We start from the raw sequence: 15,349 nt of genomic DNA on the forward strand, positions 1-15,349 counted from the left end.
ACAGATGGGGGGATTGTGCACGGACCAAGAATGGTCAAGGGCCTCCAGGCCCCACGAGGGGCCGAGAAATAGCCACGCGCGCCGGGGGTTTGAGGGCTGGAGAACCTCATGGAAGAGGCGGTGGGGCGCCCTGCCCCAAGAGACCCCGGGCTGAACAGAGACAGCGGTCTCCGGCCCCCGTGCCCGCCCTACTGGGCTGACGGCTACACGGGCTGGTCTGCCGATTCCGCAGGTGACAGCGCGAGGGACGCAGCGAGGGCGCAGGCCGCCGCGAGGCGCGGTTTCCAAGCCCAGTCGCCGGCGCCGCCCAGGAGCAGCCGCAGTGCAATGCTGCCCCCTGCCGGCAACCGCGGGAACGGGCCCCAGGCGCTGCCGCGCGAGCCGCCCCAGGAGGGAGGACCTGTCCCAAGGATAACCGCACCTCTACGTGGTCCGGAAGGCCTGCACGCTGATGGGCGGTGGGAAGCCCAACAGGGCCTGGTCTCAGTGAAAATAACAGCAATAGCCCACATTTACATAGCGTTTACTACGAGACAGGCACTATTTTAATGCTTTGCATACATTAACTCATGTAATCCTCACCCAATCCTTCACAAGGGAGGCGCTCTTATTATTCCCATTTTACAGAGCAGTAAATGGAGGCACAAGAGAGTTATGTAACATGCCCAGCTGGTATGTGGCAAAATAGGATTTGAACCCAGGCATTCTGGCTCCCCAGCCCACGTCTTTGAACTATCTGCCAGTCAGAAAAGCCAGTGGGGGATCCACTTTACACAGCCCAGCACCCCTGTGTAAATTCCTGCGGATTTCTAGAGCCCAACCCCCATGGTCAGCCCCTGCTGCAAATAACAGGCAGGCGTCCTATAGCGTGGATCATTAACCATTCTCCGTCTGGACCACACACGGAGGGACTGGGACCCTGGATTTCCCAGGGGTCTGTTGGAGACTGCCTGAGCCTTCCCTGAGAGCCTTAAAAGGCCAGGATCCAAAGAGGTGACCCCAGTGTCCTCCTCCTCAGGCCATCCAAGATCCGAAGCAGGAAGAGGGCCTGGGTGAGCTCAGCTTTTGTGAAGAGCTCACTGTGTGCAGCATCTGTCCTGGCAGCCCCCAGTTCTTGCCGCTTCCCCCTCACCCTGATTCCTGCCAAAGTTTCAGGCTCAGCTCTGTCAAAACAGTAAGTCAAATTGTGACAGTCCTACTTAAAGCTCTTTACTACAACTCAACAACAAAACCAACCTGATTAAAAAATCAGGCAAAGGACATGAATAGACGTATCTCCAAAAATGAGATATAAATGACCAATAAGCACATGAAAAGATGCTCAACATCACTAGCCATTAGGGAAATGCAATAAAAACCACAATGAGATACCACCTCACATCCATTACACACTAATCACAATCAATCAATAAATCAAGCAAGGATGTGGAGAAATTGGAACCCTTGTGAATTGTTTGTGGGAACGTAAGAGGGTGCAGCCGCTATGGAATACAGTAGGCCATTTCTCAAAAAATTGAAAATAGAACTACCATATGATTTTCAATTTAACCGAAAGGGTCAAAATCTCACTTAAAGAGTATATTAAGTGCAAAGTTCAAGGACAAGTGGTCCAGGAAGCAAAGATTCCAAAGGATGGAAGTCAGTGTAGATCCAAAGTGTAGAAGTTTAGGATCGTGCATACAGATAAAGTTTAGGGAAGCTTAACAGAACATTTAACATCTTTTTATGTAAGACTTAATACATAGTTACAATGATCTGATTAGTCAAGATGGTCTTTTTCTTCTGGGAAAGGTACACTTAACATTCCACACTGAAGATATAACTATCATGGGGTCTTGGCTGCTATCTGGTCTAAGTTAGGTACAGGACAATAAAAAAGGCAGTTAATTTATAACAAAGATCAGTGACTGGAAGGGGGGAGTTATGGTCTCTGGTCTCCCCTAGTCATTTACAGAACAAGAGCAATGAGTAAGAGAGTTAATTTCTTTCTTTTCTTTTTTTTTTTTTTTGAGAGAGAGTCTTACTTCGTCACCCAGACTGGAGTGCAGTGGTGTGATCTCAGCTCACTGCAACCTCTGCCTCCTGGGTTCAAGCAATTCTCGTGTCTCAGCCTCTCAAGTAGCTGGGATTACAGGCATCCGCCACCACACCTAGCTACTTTTTGTATTTTTAGTAGAGACGGGGTTTCACTATGTTGGCCAGGCTGGTCTCGAACTCCTGAACTCAAGTGATCCACCCACCTCGGCCTTTCAAAGTGCTGGGATTACAGGCGTGCTCCACCATGCCCGGCCTTAATCTATAATCTAAGAAGCAGGATTGCAAACAAGTTACATGAATGAGCCTTCCCCCTTGGTATAATAAATTTAGAGGATTCTGAAATTGTATTTTCTTTTACATGATCGAGCAATTCCACTATGGGTATATATCCAAAAGAATTGAAAACAGGTCCTCAAAGAGATATTTGTACACCCATATTTATAGCAATGTTATTCACAATAGCTAAAGGGTGGAAGAAACCCAGGCGTTCATCAACAAATGATGGATAAACTGTGGTCCATCCATGCAATGGAATATTATTCATCCTTAAAAAGGAAGGACATTTTGACACATGTTCCAACATAGACGAACCTTGAGGACATTATGCTAAATGAAATAAGCGCATCACAAAAAGACAAATACTGGCCAGGCTCAGTGGCTCATGTCTGTATCCCAGCACTTTGGGAGGCCAAGGCAGGTGGATTGTTTGAGCTCAGGAGTTTGAGACCAACCTGGGCAACATGGCAAAACCCCATCTCAACAAAAAATACAAAAAAATTAGCCGAGCGTGGTTACACACACCTGTGGTCCCAGCTTCTCGGGAGGCTGAGACAGGAGGATGGCTTGAGCCTTGAAGGCAGAGATTGCAGTGAGCCAAGATCATACCACTGCACTCTAACCCGGGTAACAGAGTGAGACGTCATCTAAAAAGAAGAAAAGAAAAGACAAATACTGTATGATTCTCTCATAGGAGGTACCTAGAGTAGTCATATTCACAGAGACAGAAAGTAGAATGGTGGTTGCCAGGGTCTGAGGGAAGATGAGAATGGGGAGTTGTTTAATGGGGACAGAGTTTCAGTTTGGGAAGATGAAAAAGTTCAGGAGATGGATGGTGGTGAGGGTTGCACAACAATGTGAATGTACCTAATGCCACTGAACTGTATGCTTAAAAATGGTTAAGATGGTAAATGCTATATTATGTGTATTTTATCACAATTAAAAATAAAAATAATATAAAATCACACAAACCCTTTGCTAGGCCCTCTGTCTGCAGAACAATGGTCAAGTTCCACAGCACTTAGGCTGTAGTGAATTTCTGCAGGACCGGCCCCAGGCAATGCCCCCTGCCCTGAGAGCTGCGCCATCAAAACAACACGGGGCTGTAGCAGGAATGACCGAGGTCGTAGAAGACCCAGGCCCTGACTATGTCTGATTGGTCTGAAGATGGCCACCTACTCCAAACTAGCCAATCAGCACCCTCCTCCAGAATGCTTTAACTAGAATAAAGAGAATCCGGCCCTATAGGTGATGGGTATGTAAGATGTGAAGTCAGGCTAGGTGGGCAGACATGATCCCTGATGGGTGGAAGGAACCAGAGAAGCACAGGCAAGAGGTGGTGGCTGTTCCCCTGCCCTCTCTGCCTTTGCAGTGTGAGTTTCTGCCATGTGTTATGGTCACTGGCAACAAAAAGATTACTGGCTAGAACAGAAGCCCTCCAAAGGGCTCCCAACCCCAAAGTGTAAAACAATTCGGTAACACTAATGAGCCACGCTGTTTCCCACCTCTCAGCCCTTGCTGTTCCCTCTCCTAGGAATGCCTTCTTTCGTGGATGGCCCCCTAGAAATGTATGTGGCTTTTAAGATGAAGTTGAAACTCCATGAACCAGGAAGTCTTTATTACCTACACCCCCAACCCCATGTGGAAGTGACCCATCCTTGGGCCACCTGTGGCTGCAGCACCCACCATCATATATGTCTGTTCTCACACCTGCCTCCCCTTCTAGCTGGAAGAGTCGCAAAAGCTGAGACTCATCTTGTGTTCCCATTACCCAGGAAAGGGTCTAGCACCTAGTGGGTTCTCAATCAATGCTTACTGAATGAAGACGGAGATGCAAAGTAAATATCATCAACCCTCTTTTACAGAGCACACAACTGAGGCTTAATGATGTGGCATCCCAGATCAATCCCCTACAAGCTGTAGGCATCTCCTTGTCTGATCCTACCTCCCAGCCCTCCCCAACTGCTGAAATCCACCCACGTGACTTTAGAACTCCTGGTCAATAGGAAATTCACACCTGGATCCATCATAGTGAAACAGCAGAAAACCAAAGATACAGAGAAAAATTGTAAAAGCAGCTAGAGAAGAAAAAACAGATTTCTTAAACTGACAGCTGACTTCTCAACAACAGTACACACATAACAAGGCGGAAGATAGTGGAGTGGTAGCTTCAATGAGCTGAAAGAATGTTTCTACCCTAGAACTCCACACTAAGGAAAAAAATGTCTTTCAAGAATTAGGATGAAATAAAGATTTTTCAGGCAAACAAAAACTCTGAGAGTTCAATTAGAAGCAGACGTTCACTAAAGGAAATGCTCAAGGAGCTATTTCAGGCAGAAGGAAAGTGATCCCAGATGGAAGGACCTATGCACAGGAAAGAGTGAAAAGCAATGAGCATTTAAATGCATGGGTGAATATAAATGAACACTGTCTAGAACAGTGATGCCTATGGCATACAAAAAAATAAGAACTAAAATATAAGACAATACAGGGATTGTCTGGGGAATATGGCAAAAGTATTCATTAACTGTAAACTTTGGTAAATTAAGTATGCAGATTTTAATTTTGAAGGAAAACACATACACAAAAAAGGAGACAATAACTTTGGATGGAAAAGTGTATGATAAAGTACAGTGAAGTCCAAGAAAATACAGTTGAGCCCAAGAAAGCAAGAAAGAGAAACAGAACAGAAAGCCCAAAATAAAGTGATATTTTAAAAACAAAAATACATTAATAAGTATATTAAATGTAAGAGAATTGAATGCTTTAGTCAAATTGCAAATGTTAGTAAATTGGATTTTTTGTGAAAATCTAGATGTGACAAAAGTCACATTTAGGATATAAAAATAAAGAAATATTGAGAGTAAAAGGAATAAGGATAATGTGCCATGTGAGCATTAACCAAAAAAGAGCTACTGTGGCTATAGCAATATCAGACAAAGTAGACTTTAAGGCAAAAAAGTATTATTAGAGATAAAGAGGATTATTATGTGATGATAAAATATTTCATTTACAAGGGAGACATAAAAATGTTATACTTGTATGCATTTAACAACATAGTCACAAAATATATAAAGTCCAAAATTATATATCTACAAAAAGAAAGACAAATCCAACATCACAGTGAGAGAATTTAGCACAAGTCTCTCAGTATAGACAAGAAAAGCAGTAAAAAGCCGTCACAATTCAGGGAAGAAATAAACCATCTGTAAAATATTATTAACATATTTGATCTAGTGGACACATATAGAATGCTGCACTCAACAAGAGCAGACTACAGTTTCTTTTCAAGCATACATGAACATTTACAAAAAGATAATGTTTAGGCCGGGTGCGGTGGCTCATGCTTTTAATCCCAGCACTTTAGGAGGCCGAGACGGGCGGATTACCTGAGGTCAGGAGTTCAAGACTAGCCTGGCCAATATGGCAAAACCCCATCTCTACTAAAAATACAAAAATTAACCCACCATGATGGTGCATGCCTGTAATCTCAGCTACTTAGGAGGCTGAAGCAAGAAAATCACTTGAATCCAGGAGGCGGAGGTTGCAGTGAGCCAAGATCACACCACTGCACTCCAGCCTGGGCAAAACAGCAAGACTCTATCTCAAAAAAAAAAAAAAGATAATGTTTGATTGAAATAGTATTAAACATGATTTCTTTTTTTTTTCTTTTTTTTTTTTTTTTTTTTTTGGTGAGATGGAGATTTACTTTTGTTGCCCAGGGTGGAGTGTAATGGCACGATCTCAGCTCACCGCATTCTCCGCCTCCAAGGTTCAAGCAATTCTCCTGCCTCAGCCTCCGGAGTAGCTGGGATTACAGGCATGTGTCACCACGCCCGGCTAATTCTGTATTTTTAGTAGAGACAGGGTTTCACCGTGTTGCCTAGGCTGATCTCAAACTCCTGACCTCAGGTGATCCACCCGCCTTGGCCTCCCAAAGTGCTGGGATTACAGGCGTGTGGTGAGCCACTGCACCCGGCCATTAAACATGATTTCTGACAACAATGTAATTAACTTGGTAATTAATATTAAAAATAAAACTAAGAAATACATTCCTAAACAACTCAGTATACAAAAAGAACATGATAAATGAAAATTAGAAAATATTTACAACAGGCCTGTAATCCCAGCACTTTGGGAGGCCGAGGCGGGCAGATCACGAGGTCAGGAGATCGAGACCATCCTGGCTAACACAGTGAAACCCCGTCTCTACTAAAAATACAAAAAAATTAGCCGGGCGAGGTGGCAGGTGCCTGTAGTCCCAGCTACTCGGGAGGCTGAGGCAGGAGAATGGCATGAACCCCAGGAGGCGGAGCTTGCAGTGAGCCGAGATCGCGCCACTGCACTCCAGCCTGGGTGGCAGAGCGAGACTCCGTCTCATAAAAAAAAAAAGAAAGAAAGAAAAAGAAAAAAGAAAATATTTACAACAGAAGAATAACAAAAATGTCACATATCAAAACTCATGCTTCTCTCTAAGTAGCCTTTTATGTATTTGGAAGATTTATAGTCTTGAAGGAAGGCAGAAAATTAATGAAAAAGTGTCCATTTCCGACATTAGAAAAAGAAACGTAAAATAACCCAAAAAGGTAGAATAAAAAAGTCGAGAGTATAAATTAATAAAATATGAAAGATAATACATGCAATAGAGAAATCAAAATAAAATTTAAAAGTCAAAAGTCATTTCTTTGAAACTATTAACAAAGTTAAAAAATCCTGGCAAGACTGATCAAAATGGAAGAGAGAAAAAGAGAAAGAGAGAGAATGAAAATAACTAAGCAAGAGTAAGAAAAAGAAGTTAACCAAGGATCCTACAGACATCAAAAAATAAGAAAATAGTATGAACATATATTTGAAAATTCAAATGAAATGGATAAATTTCTCTCTAAAATACAATTTACCAAAATTTATACCAGAGGAAATGGATAACTTGGGCAGTCTTACAATTATTAAAGAAATGTAAATCCTTGAAGCCCAGATGGTTTCATTGGTGAATTCTACCAAACATTTAAGGAAGAAACAATGTCACTGTTACACAAACTTTTCCATAGACCAGAAAAAGAGGAACCAGGCAGGGCGCGGTGGCTCACGCCTGTAATCCCAGCACTTTGGGAGGCCGAGACGAGCAGATCACCTGAGGTCAGGAGTTGGAGACCAGCCTGACCAACATGGAGAAACCCCATCTCTACTAAAAATACAAAATTAGCCGGGCGTGATGGCACATGCCTGTAATCCCAGCTACTCGGGAGGCTGAGGCAGGAAAATCGCTTGAACCGGGAGGCAGAGGTTGCAGTGAGCCAAGATCGTGCCATTGCACTCCAGCCTGTGCAACAAGAGCGAAACTCCGTCTCAAAAAAAAGAAAAAAAAAAGGAAAAGAAAAAGAGGAACCATCCCAACTTCTTTATGATGCCAGCAGAGCAATATTAAAACCTGACAAAGACATTAGAGAAATGAAAATCACAAGCCACTCACTTTCATGAAAGTAAATGCAAAAATTCTAAATCAAACATTAGCCAACCAAATCAAAAGATATGTAAATAAAATATAAATATATTACAAATATATAATCCATCATGACCAAATTTTATGTATTCTAGTAATGAAAATTGGCTTAACATTTTAAAAAATCAGTGATATTCACCACATTGTAAAGGATTGAAGGAGGAAAAATATTTGAAAACCTGTGGATTCTATGGAACAAAAAAAGGTGCAGTGAGAAGCTTTAAGAAGACCTACATAGATGAAGGGATACACTATAAATAAATATTGGAAGAACAAATATGATACAGATGTCAGTTTAAATCAGAAATTCAAAAGATGTTTTGTGGAACTTGTAAAGTGAGTCTAAAATGTATTGAGAAGTATAAAAAAATAAGATAGCCAAGACACTTTTAAAGAAAAGCAAGATGGGAGAACTTATTCTGCTAGATGTCAAGATCTATTATAAATAGAAATTCAGACAGTGTGGTATTGACTCAAAGATAGAAGATTAGAATGGAACAGAATAGAGAGCCCAGAAAGGACTCTTGCATACACAAACATTTGCTATCTGGCCAAAGTGGTGCTGCAGAGCAGACAGGAATGGACGTTCTTCTTAATAAATGACACTGACATATCCATATGAGGAAAAAGTTAAATTGGATCCCTACTTCACACCATACATTAAATTCCAGGTTGATTAATGACCTAAATAGAAAGAGAAATTCAGAAAGCTTTAGGTGATTAGAAAGTTAGACAGCTCTTATGACCTTGAGGGAGGGGAAAACTTAAACAAGACTTAAAAAGCATTAGCCACAAAGGGGGGAAAAGCTATAAAGAGAGCAAAAACAAAGCCATGATGGGAGAATGTATAAATAAAAAAATAACTCTCCAAAATAAATACTTCTAAACAGAGGGAATATATATCGAACTACAAATCAATATGAAAAAAAGCTACAATCAGGGGAGATGAAAGTTGACTACAAATTCTTTGCTATTCCTCTCATTGAAAGGTGGAATCCAATTCCCCTTTCCTTGAATCTGGGCTGGCCTTAGTGACTTGCTTGACTGAAAAAACACATCTGGGACATTCAACACTAAGTCAGAAGAAGTCCTGCACTTCCACCCAGTGCTTGCAATGCTTGTTCTGGGGCACACCTGAGACTGCCCCACTGTGACGAAGCCATTCCCCAGCTAGCCCTGCCCCTAGCCATTGAGTCATCACAGCTGAGGACAAGTCCTGCTCAAGCTGAAGACCCATGAGCAAAAGAAATTAGTGCTGCTTTTTCCGGTCACAAAATTTTGGGGTGGTTGGCTATGTAGCAGTACGTAATCAGAATAACAACCTAATAGAAAAATGGACAAAACGTTTGAACAGGCACTTTTCAAAAGAAAAAATTCATTTGTGATTAGAGAAATGCAAATTAAAACTAGAATGAGATGCCATTACACATCCATCAAAATATAGGAGTGTAAAATTATGTATCCACTTTGGAAAGAGTTTGGCATCACCTATTCAAGCTGCAGATACACATGCCCTCTGACCCAGCATTTCCACTCTACCCTAGGGAGACTCCTGCACAAGGGCACATGTGACAGACCTATGAACATTCACAGCAGCACTGTTTGTGAAAGGCAGAATCTGCAAACAACCCAAACTTCCATCTTAGTGGAGTAAGTAAATAGATCATTGCAATATGTTTCTACAATGGACCCCTATGCAGCCATGAAAATGAACAAGCTAAAACTATAGAAAACATGAATGCTATTCACAAACATGACATTGAATAAAAGGCAAAACCAATACAAAACAAAAAACAACCGTATTTAGTGGCCTTCTATTCAAATGAATAGAAATAACAACCAAAACAAATTTAGGAATGCACTGAGATAGTAAAAAACTACTTTTTAAATATTATCAGTGTCAGCTGGGCATGGTGGCTTATGCCTGTAATCCCAGCACTTTCAGTGGCTGAAGTGGGAGAATCACTTGCGGCCAGGAGTTTGAGACCAGCCTGGGCAACATGGCAAAACGCCATCTCTACTAAAAATATTAATACAAAAAATTAGCCAGGCATGGTGGCACACACCTGTAATCCCAGCTACTTGGGAGGCTGAAGCAAGAGAATCGCTTGAACTCAGGAGGCACAGGTTGAAGTGAGCCAAGATGGTGCTACTACACTCCAACCTGGGAAACAGAGTGAGACTCTATCTCAAAAATAAAAATAAAATAAAATACTATCAATGTAGCCAGAATGGTGGTTATATCTAGAGCAGAAGGAAAGGATTATGATTGCAGAGCAGCACTGGGAAGATGTGTGAGGTGTTAATCCCCTTAATTTTTTTAACCTGGGTGGTGGTTACATAGTACCTACTTCATTCACAGAATGGCATATTTGTGTTTTATGCACTTTTCAGAAAATATTGTTAGCCTAAGGAAAAAAGGAGAACTTCCACAAGCTCCACCTAGCTGCAGCGAAGTGCACATAATTCGCACCCTCCTGCCCGTTGCTGTGGGTGAAGCACCTCCTGACAGCCAGCACTAGGCCTTGCTCCGCCAGGCCTCCCTCTCCTGCATCAGCCCACCTGCCTCTGCAGGACCTGCACTCACATATCCCTCCAGATGCTCCCCATCTTCCCTTCAAAGCGCACACTGTGGGAAGGCTTGTATAGACTCGCTGTCTCCAGCTGTTCTCTTCTCATTCTCTCTTGAACTCACTCCAATCAAGCTTTCCCCCCACCATTCACCCACACTGCTCTGTCAAGCTCACTAATGACCTCATGGTGTTAGATCCAATGGTCGCCTCTCAGTCCTCCTCTTGAACTGTCAGTGGCATTTAGGACAGCTGAGCAGCCCTCCTCTTAAACACTCTTTTCACTTGGCTTTAGGGGCCTCCTCCCACCCTCCTGGTTTTTCTCCAGCCTTCCTGGCTGCCCCAGCTCAGTCTCCTCCAGTCCCTCCTTCTCCTATCTCCCCTACCCACCTTTTCTCGGTCACTCTTTGGATGATCTCATCCAGTTCCAATGCTTTAAAATGCCATCTCTACGTTTATGACTCCCAAATCTTGATTTCTAGCCCACCACCCCCAACCCTCCCCCCGTGAAGTCCTGCCTCACTGATACAGCCAGCATCTAACCAGCATCTCCACTTAAAGGTGGAATATTCATCTTCAATGGGAGGTGTAGAAAAAGTGAGCTCCACATCTCCCCACCCCCAAACCGGCTTCTGCTGCCGCCTTCCCCACCCGGCAACTTCCATCCTTTCTGAAGCTCAAGCCAAAAACCTGAGAGTCATCCCTGATTTTCTGTTTCCCTCCTTCCACCCCACATCCAAGCCAGCAGCAAATCCTGTCTGCTCTGGCTTGGATAAAGATCCAGAATCCAGCCCCTTCTCACCCCTCCGCGACCACCCCCGAGGCCTCCTGCCTCATTGCAAGAGCTCCTAACTGGTCCTGGGATCCACCCGTGCCCCCTGCGCGTGTTTGCAGCAACAGCATCCAGACTGACTCAGTTACACAGTGTGTCGCGTCCTGTCATTCCTCTGCTGAGAACCTTCCGCCTCCCGCCTCCCTCAGAGGAAAAGCTCCCTCCGCAGGAGGGTTTCCTCTCTATCCTCATCCCCAGACCTCTCACCTCTGCCTCAGTACAGTGGCCTATTTATTTGTGCCCCTGGAACACACCTTTGCACCTACCGATTGCTCTACCTGGGAAGCTCCTCCCCCAGACAGATACCTGCATTCAAGTTTTCACTCACTTGCCCTTCTCAGGGAAGCCTCCCAGACCATCCTACTTAAAACTGCAGGACCTCTTTCCTGCGGTCCCTATCCCCTTTCCTGCTATGTTTTCCCCTAAGGAATATCACCACCTAACAGTCTATGCTTTTTTTTTTTTTTTTTTTTTTTTTTTTTTTTTTTGAGACGGAGTCTCGCTCTGTCGCCCAGGCTGGAGTGCAGTGGCGGGATCTCGGCTCACTGCAAGCTCCGCCTCCCGGGTTCACGCCATTCTCCTGCCTCAGCCTCCCAAGTAGCTGGGACTACAGGCGCCTGCCACTACGCCCGGCTAATTTTTTGTATTTTTAGTAGAGACGGGGTTTCACCGTTTTAGCCGGGATGGTCTCGATCTCCTGACCTCGTGATCCGCCCGCCTCGGCCTCCCAAAGTTGTGGAATTACAGGCGTGAGCCACCGCGCCCGGCCCAGTCTATGCTTTTTAAAAACCTATTTGTGGCCAGGCGCGGTGGCTCACGCCTGTAATCCCAGCACTTTAGGAGGCCGAGGTGGGCGGATCACTTGAGGTCAGGAGCTCGAGACCAGCCTGGCCAATATGTGCAACCCCCTCTCTACTAAAAATACAAGCTGGGCGTGGTGGCACGCGCCCGTATTCCCAGCTACTCAGGAGGCTGAGGTAGGAGAATCGCTTGAACCCGGGAAGCAGAGGTTGCAGTGAGCCAAGATTGTGCCACTGCACTCCAGCCTGGGCGATAGAGCGAGACCCGTCTTAAAACAAAACAAAACAAAAACCTATTTGCTTGTTATCTATCTGCCTACACTAGACTGTAAGCTCCAGGTGGTATGCTCAGTGCCTGTAATGGCGCCTGGCACGTGGAAGAGGGTCAATGTTAATTAAAGGAATGAGGGTGACTTGCACACGCCGCATAGTAAAGCGGCAGAGAACTTGCATCAGGCGTCTCTGACCACCGAGCCTGCGAAGACCTAGCTGATTACGACCAGGAAACAGGAGGGGACATGGCCCAAGGTGGGCGGGGCCAGTGCTGGGAAGCCCCGCCCCGCCCCCGATCCTGTGCTCCCAGGTCTGGGCGTTAGGATTCTCTCAGTCCCGGAGCCACGCCGGCTGACCGCAGGGCTCGGGGAGCGCGGCTGGGCCCCTTTTCCCGGGTCCGGGAAGCGCCGGGCCACGCCGGGTCCGCTGGAGAGACTGAGGGCCAGGGTCGCCGCTGCCGCCGGGAGGCGACAGAGCCAGCTGGGCGCACCTGGGTGCTGGCGGCTGCGGAGTCGCGGGGCCCGGTCCTGAGGTCACCTTCCCACCCCGACCTCACGCCCCTTCCTGGTCTGACCCATCACTGCGGCCCACCCGGCTGACAGCGCCCGAGACCCGCGGCGAGCCATCAGGGAGGAGCTGCGGGCTCAGGGTGCAGGAACCTTGGGGACGAGCTGAAGAATGGGTTAATAACCAGGCAAAGAGCGAGGAGGTGGCTGGGCCTGGGGCGTCTGAAGCTGGGGCTTGGGTTGTTCCTTGAAGGAGCAGACAGAAGGCCAGTGTGGCTGGACTCGCCAGGAGGGCTGCTGAGAGGAGGAGGGGCTGGAGGCCCCAATGAGGATTTGGGCTTTTCCTCAAAGTGCCACTGCTACTTTTAATTGTTTGTCACCAGAGAAACAGGATCAAATTTGTCTTGTAAACACCTCTGACTTGGATGGGAGGGAGAGGGAAATGGAAGTGAAAAGCGTTATTCAGGAACAAGGCCAGAGCCGGCCTGGACCAGGGAGTGGAGGCAGGTGTAGGCGTAGAGAGGGATAGATTTTGGAGTTAGAATCGATGGGACCTGAGGATGAGTTAATTGCAAGTGGGGGCGATTAAAAAAAAAAAAAAAAAGCCAACACAGACTCCAGGGTTCTCGCTTAAGCAGCTGCAGAGAGGAGCTGCCGCTTCAGGAAGCGGGAGAGGTCGTTCCAGAAGGCAGTTTGGGGCCATTAAACTTTGACACTCATGAGATTAGAGCAAATCTGTTCCAATACTTAAATCACTGGGAGAAACCGCTTACCAGGGAATTTCCAGTGAAGTTGCCAGTAGAGGGTCTTACTCCAGATCACAAAAAATGCTACCATGCCTGGTGGGGCTGGACTCCGTCTATGTTGGGTTTGGGCCTGGATAAATGTTGCAGCCAGCCTTGATCCTGGGGAGAGGTATTTAAGGATGGGAACATAAAGGCAGCAGCAAAGGAGATTGTCACATGTATGTGGCGATGACAGTCCCATTATCTGCCTGCCTGTCCCTGTGGCCGTGTGTGCCCAGTCCAAGGAGCCAACCTTGCCGGCCGCTGTCCCCTGTGAAGGCAGCAGGACTCACTGAAGCTGGACTGTGGTTATGACCCTGGACTGTTGAGCCAAAACTGTCTGGGTTTGTAATCCCAGCTCCACCTCCTGCTACCTGCATGGCCTTGGGCAAGTTTCTGTGCCTGTTTCCTCATCTGTAAACTGGGAATAATAACATCTAGATCATATGATTGTGGTGAGACACTCACCACCTTATAAAGGATTTACTACTTGATTAAGAAGAACCACGAGCCTGTGGGGACCAGCTCGGAGTGCAGCCACAGATTCCTTAATAAGCTCGTTGGATTTTTAAGTAACATTTTTTTTTTGCTTCCCATGCCAGATGGAGCTGTCACACTGGCAGGTGGTGCTCAGAGGAGGGGTCAGGCTGGAAGGCACCTGTGTAGGACACGATGCTGGTGCCTTGAGAGTGGAGGCACCACCCTGGGTTGGGCTTCTCAGCCCCCACAGAGCACTTACATCACCTGAGAGTGTTGGAAAAATGCCAGTGACCCTGGCCCTCCCCTGGACGCGATCAGCCTGGGCATCAGCATTTCGCAGAACTCCCTGATGATTCTCGTGCAAAGCTAAGATTGAGAACCTCAGGTCTAGGGAGGTCAGGTGGCAAGAGAAGGGCAGGAGCTGAGCAACTGAGCAGCTGAGCAGGGGCAGGGGAGGGTAGGGTGCAATTTCAGAGGCCAGGCTGAGGAGGAGGAGTGAGCAAGGAGACTGAGACCATGTGGCCCTGGTGCGGGAGTGAATCCAGGAGCAAACTGAAGAGGCTGGAGCTTGAAACAAGGGAAGAGGCAGAGCAAGGGACTGCAGAAGTCAAGGACTGAGATGTGGTGATTCCACGTGGCCCGGGAGGTCCCTGGTGACCTTAGCAGACAGGATGCTGGGTGAAGCTAAAAGCTAAAATGGACAGTAGAGTCACCAACTAAGATTAGAAAACACCTGTAGATATAAACAGGGGAAGGAGAAGAGATAGTAGCCGGAAGGAGTTGTGGAGTCAAGGGAAGTTTGGTTTGTTTTCTTTTTAGGGCCTCCTGGGCCTGTTGGGAGGCTGGGGAAGCCCCCAGGAGAGGGAGCAGAGGGAAGCAGGAGGTATGGGAACAGGTCCTTGAGGAGAGAGAAGATGCACCAGAGCCCGGAGGGGCCACTTCTGAGGGAGGAGGGAAGAGGAAGGTGCCAGCCAGAGAGTGGACTCACAGCTGTGAGACAGGCTCCACGGTCCTCCCAAGACCAGAGTCAGGGGTTTAGAGAGAGGGAACAGCTGGAAGGAAAGGAGAAATGCTCTAAGCGGGGGACAGAACTTAGAGACCTGTCTCTAAGGACAGACTCCACGTCTCCCAGGCCTGGGTTGCTGATAGCAGGAGAGGAAATGGCGTCCCCACACTGGAGAAGACTGAAGAAGGGGCAGGGCCTAGGCCAGCCCATGTCTATCAAAGCATCAGGGTGGGATGCTCAGAGAAGTGTGCGGACGCAGGGAGCTTGGGGGCTAGAGTCCTTGA

General features: G+C 46.4%; 9 annotated features.

Annotated features, from left to right (window-relative positions):
* Window positions 1-543: an enhancer, noted in NCBI's record as "H3K27ac-H3K4me1 hESC enhancer chr10:88136831-88137373 (GRCh37/hg19 assembly coordinates)". NCBI's record gives its function as "activates a minimal SCP1, AML or CMV promoter by ChIP-STARR-seq in naive H9 embryonic stem cells {active_cell/tissue: H9 hESC(naive)}" and the evidence as "EXISTENCE:reporter gene assay evidence [ECO:0000049][PMID:30033119]".
* Window positions 21-219: a silencer, noted in NCBI's record as "fragment chr10:88136851-88137049 (GRCh37/hg19 assembly coordinates)". NCBI's record gives its function as "represses an EF-1alpha promoter that drives an FKBP-Casp9 reporter gene in an ReSE screen in K562 erythroleukemia cells {active_cell/tissue: K562}" and the evidence as "EXISTENCE:reporter gene assay evidence [ECO:0000049][PMID:32094911]".
* Window positions 179-473: a silencer, noted in NCBI's record as "tiled region #15258; HepG2 Repressive DNase unmatched - State 4:PromP, and K562 Repressive DNase unmatched - State 8:EnhW". NCBI's record gives its function as "represses a minimal TATA promoter and a strong SV40 promoter by Sharpr-MPRA in HepG2 and K562 cells {active_cell/tissue: HepG2 | K562}" and the evidence as "EXISTENCE:reporter gene assay evidence [ECO:0000049][PMID:27701403]".
* Window positions 323-372: a silencer, noted in NCBI's record as "silent region_2561". NCBI's record gives its function as "represses an Ori minimal core promoter by ATAC-STARR-seq in GM12878 lymphoblastoid cells {active_cell/tissue: GM12878}" and the evidence as "EXISTENCE:reporter gene assay evidence [ECO:0000049][PMID:35858748]".
* Window positions 383-442: a silencer, noted in NCBI's record as "silent region_2562". NCBI's record gives its function as "represses an Ori minimal core promoter by ATAC-STARR-seq in GM12878 lymphoblastoid cells {active_cell/tissue: GM12878}" and the evidence as "EXISTENCE:reporter gene assay evidence [ECO:0000049][PMID:35858748]".
* Window positions 12,474-12,863: a silencer, noted in NCBI's record as "silent region_2563". NCBI's record gives its function as "represses an Ori minimal core promoter by ATAC-STARR-seq in GM12878 lymphoblastoid cells {active_cell/tissue: GM12878}" and the evidence as "EXISTENCE:reporter gene assay evidence [ECO:0000049][PMID:35858748]".
* Window positions 13,104-13,203: an enhancer, noted in NCBI's record as "active region_3683". NCBI's record gives its function as "activates an Ori minimal core promoter by ATAC-STARR-seq in GM12878 lymphoblastoid cells {active_cell/tissue: GM12878}" and the evidence as "EXISTENCE:reporter gene assay evidence [ECO:0000049][PMID:35858748]".
* Window positions 14,612-14,711: an enhancer, noted in NCBI's record as "active region_3684". NCBI's record gives its function as "activates an Ori minimal core promoter by ATAC-STARR-seq in GM12878 lymphoblastoid cells {active_cell/tissue: GM12878}" and the evidence as "EXISTENCE:reporter gene assay evidence [ECO:0000049][PMID:35858748]".
* Window positions 14,932-15,311: an enhancer, noted in NCBI's record as "active region_3685". NCBI's record gives its function as "activates an Ori minimal core promoter by ATAC-STARR-seq in GM12878 lymphoblastoid cells {active_cell/tissue: GM12878}" and the evidence as "EXISTENCE:reporter gene assay evidence [ECO:0000049][PMID:35858748]".

This window comes from Homo sapiens, chromosome 10, assembly GCF_000001405.40.
Source record: "Homo sapiens chromosome 10, GRCh38.p14 Primary Assembly".
NCBI lineage: Eukaryota > Metazoa > Chordata > Mammalia > Primates > Hominidae > Homo > Homo sapiens.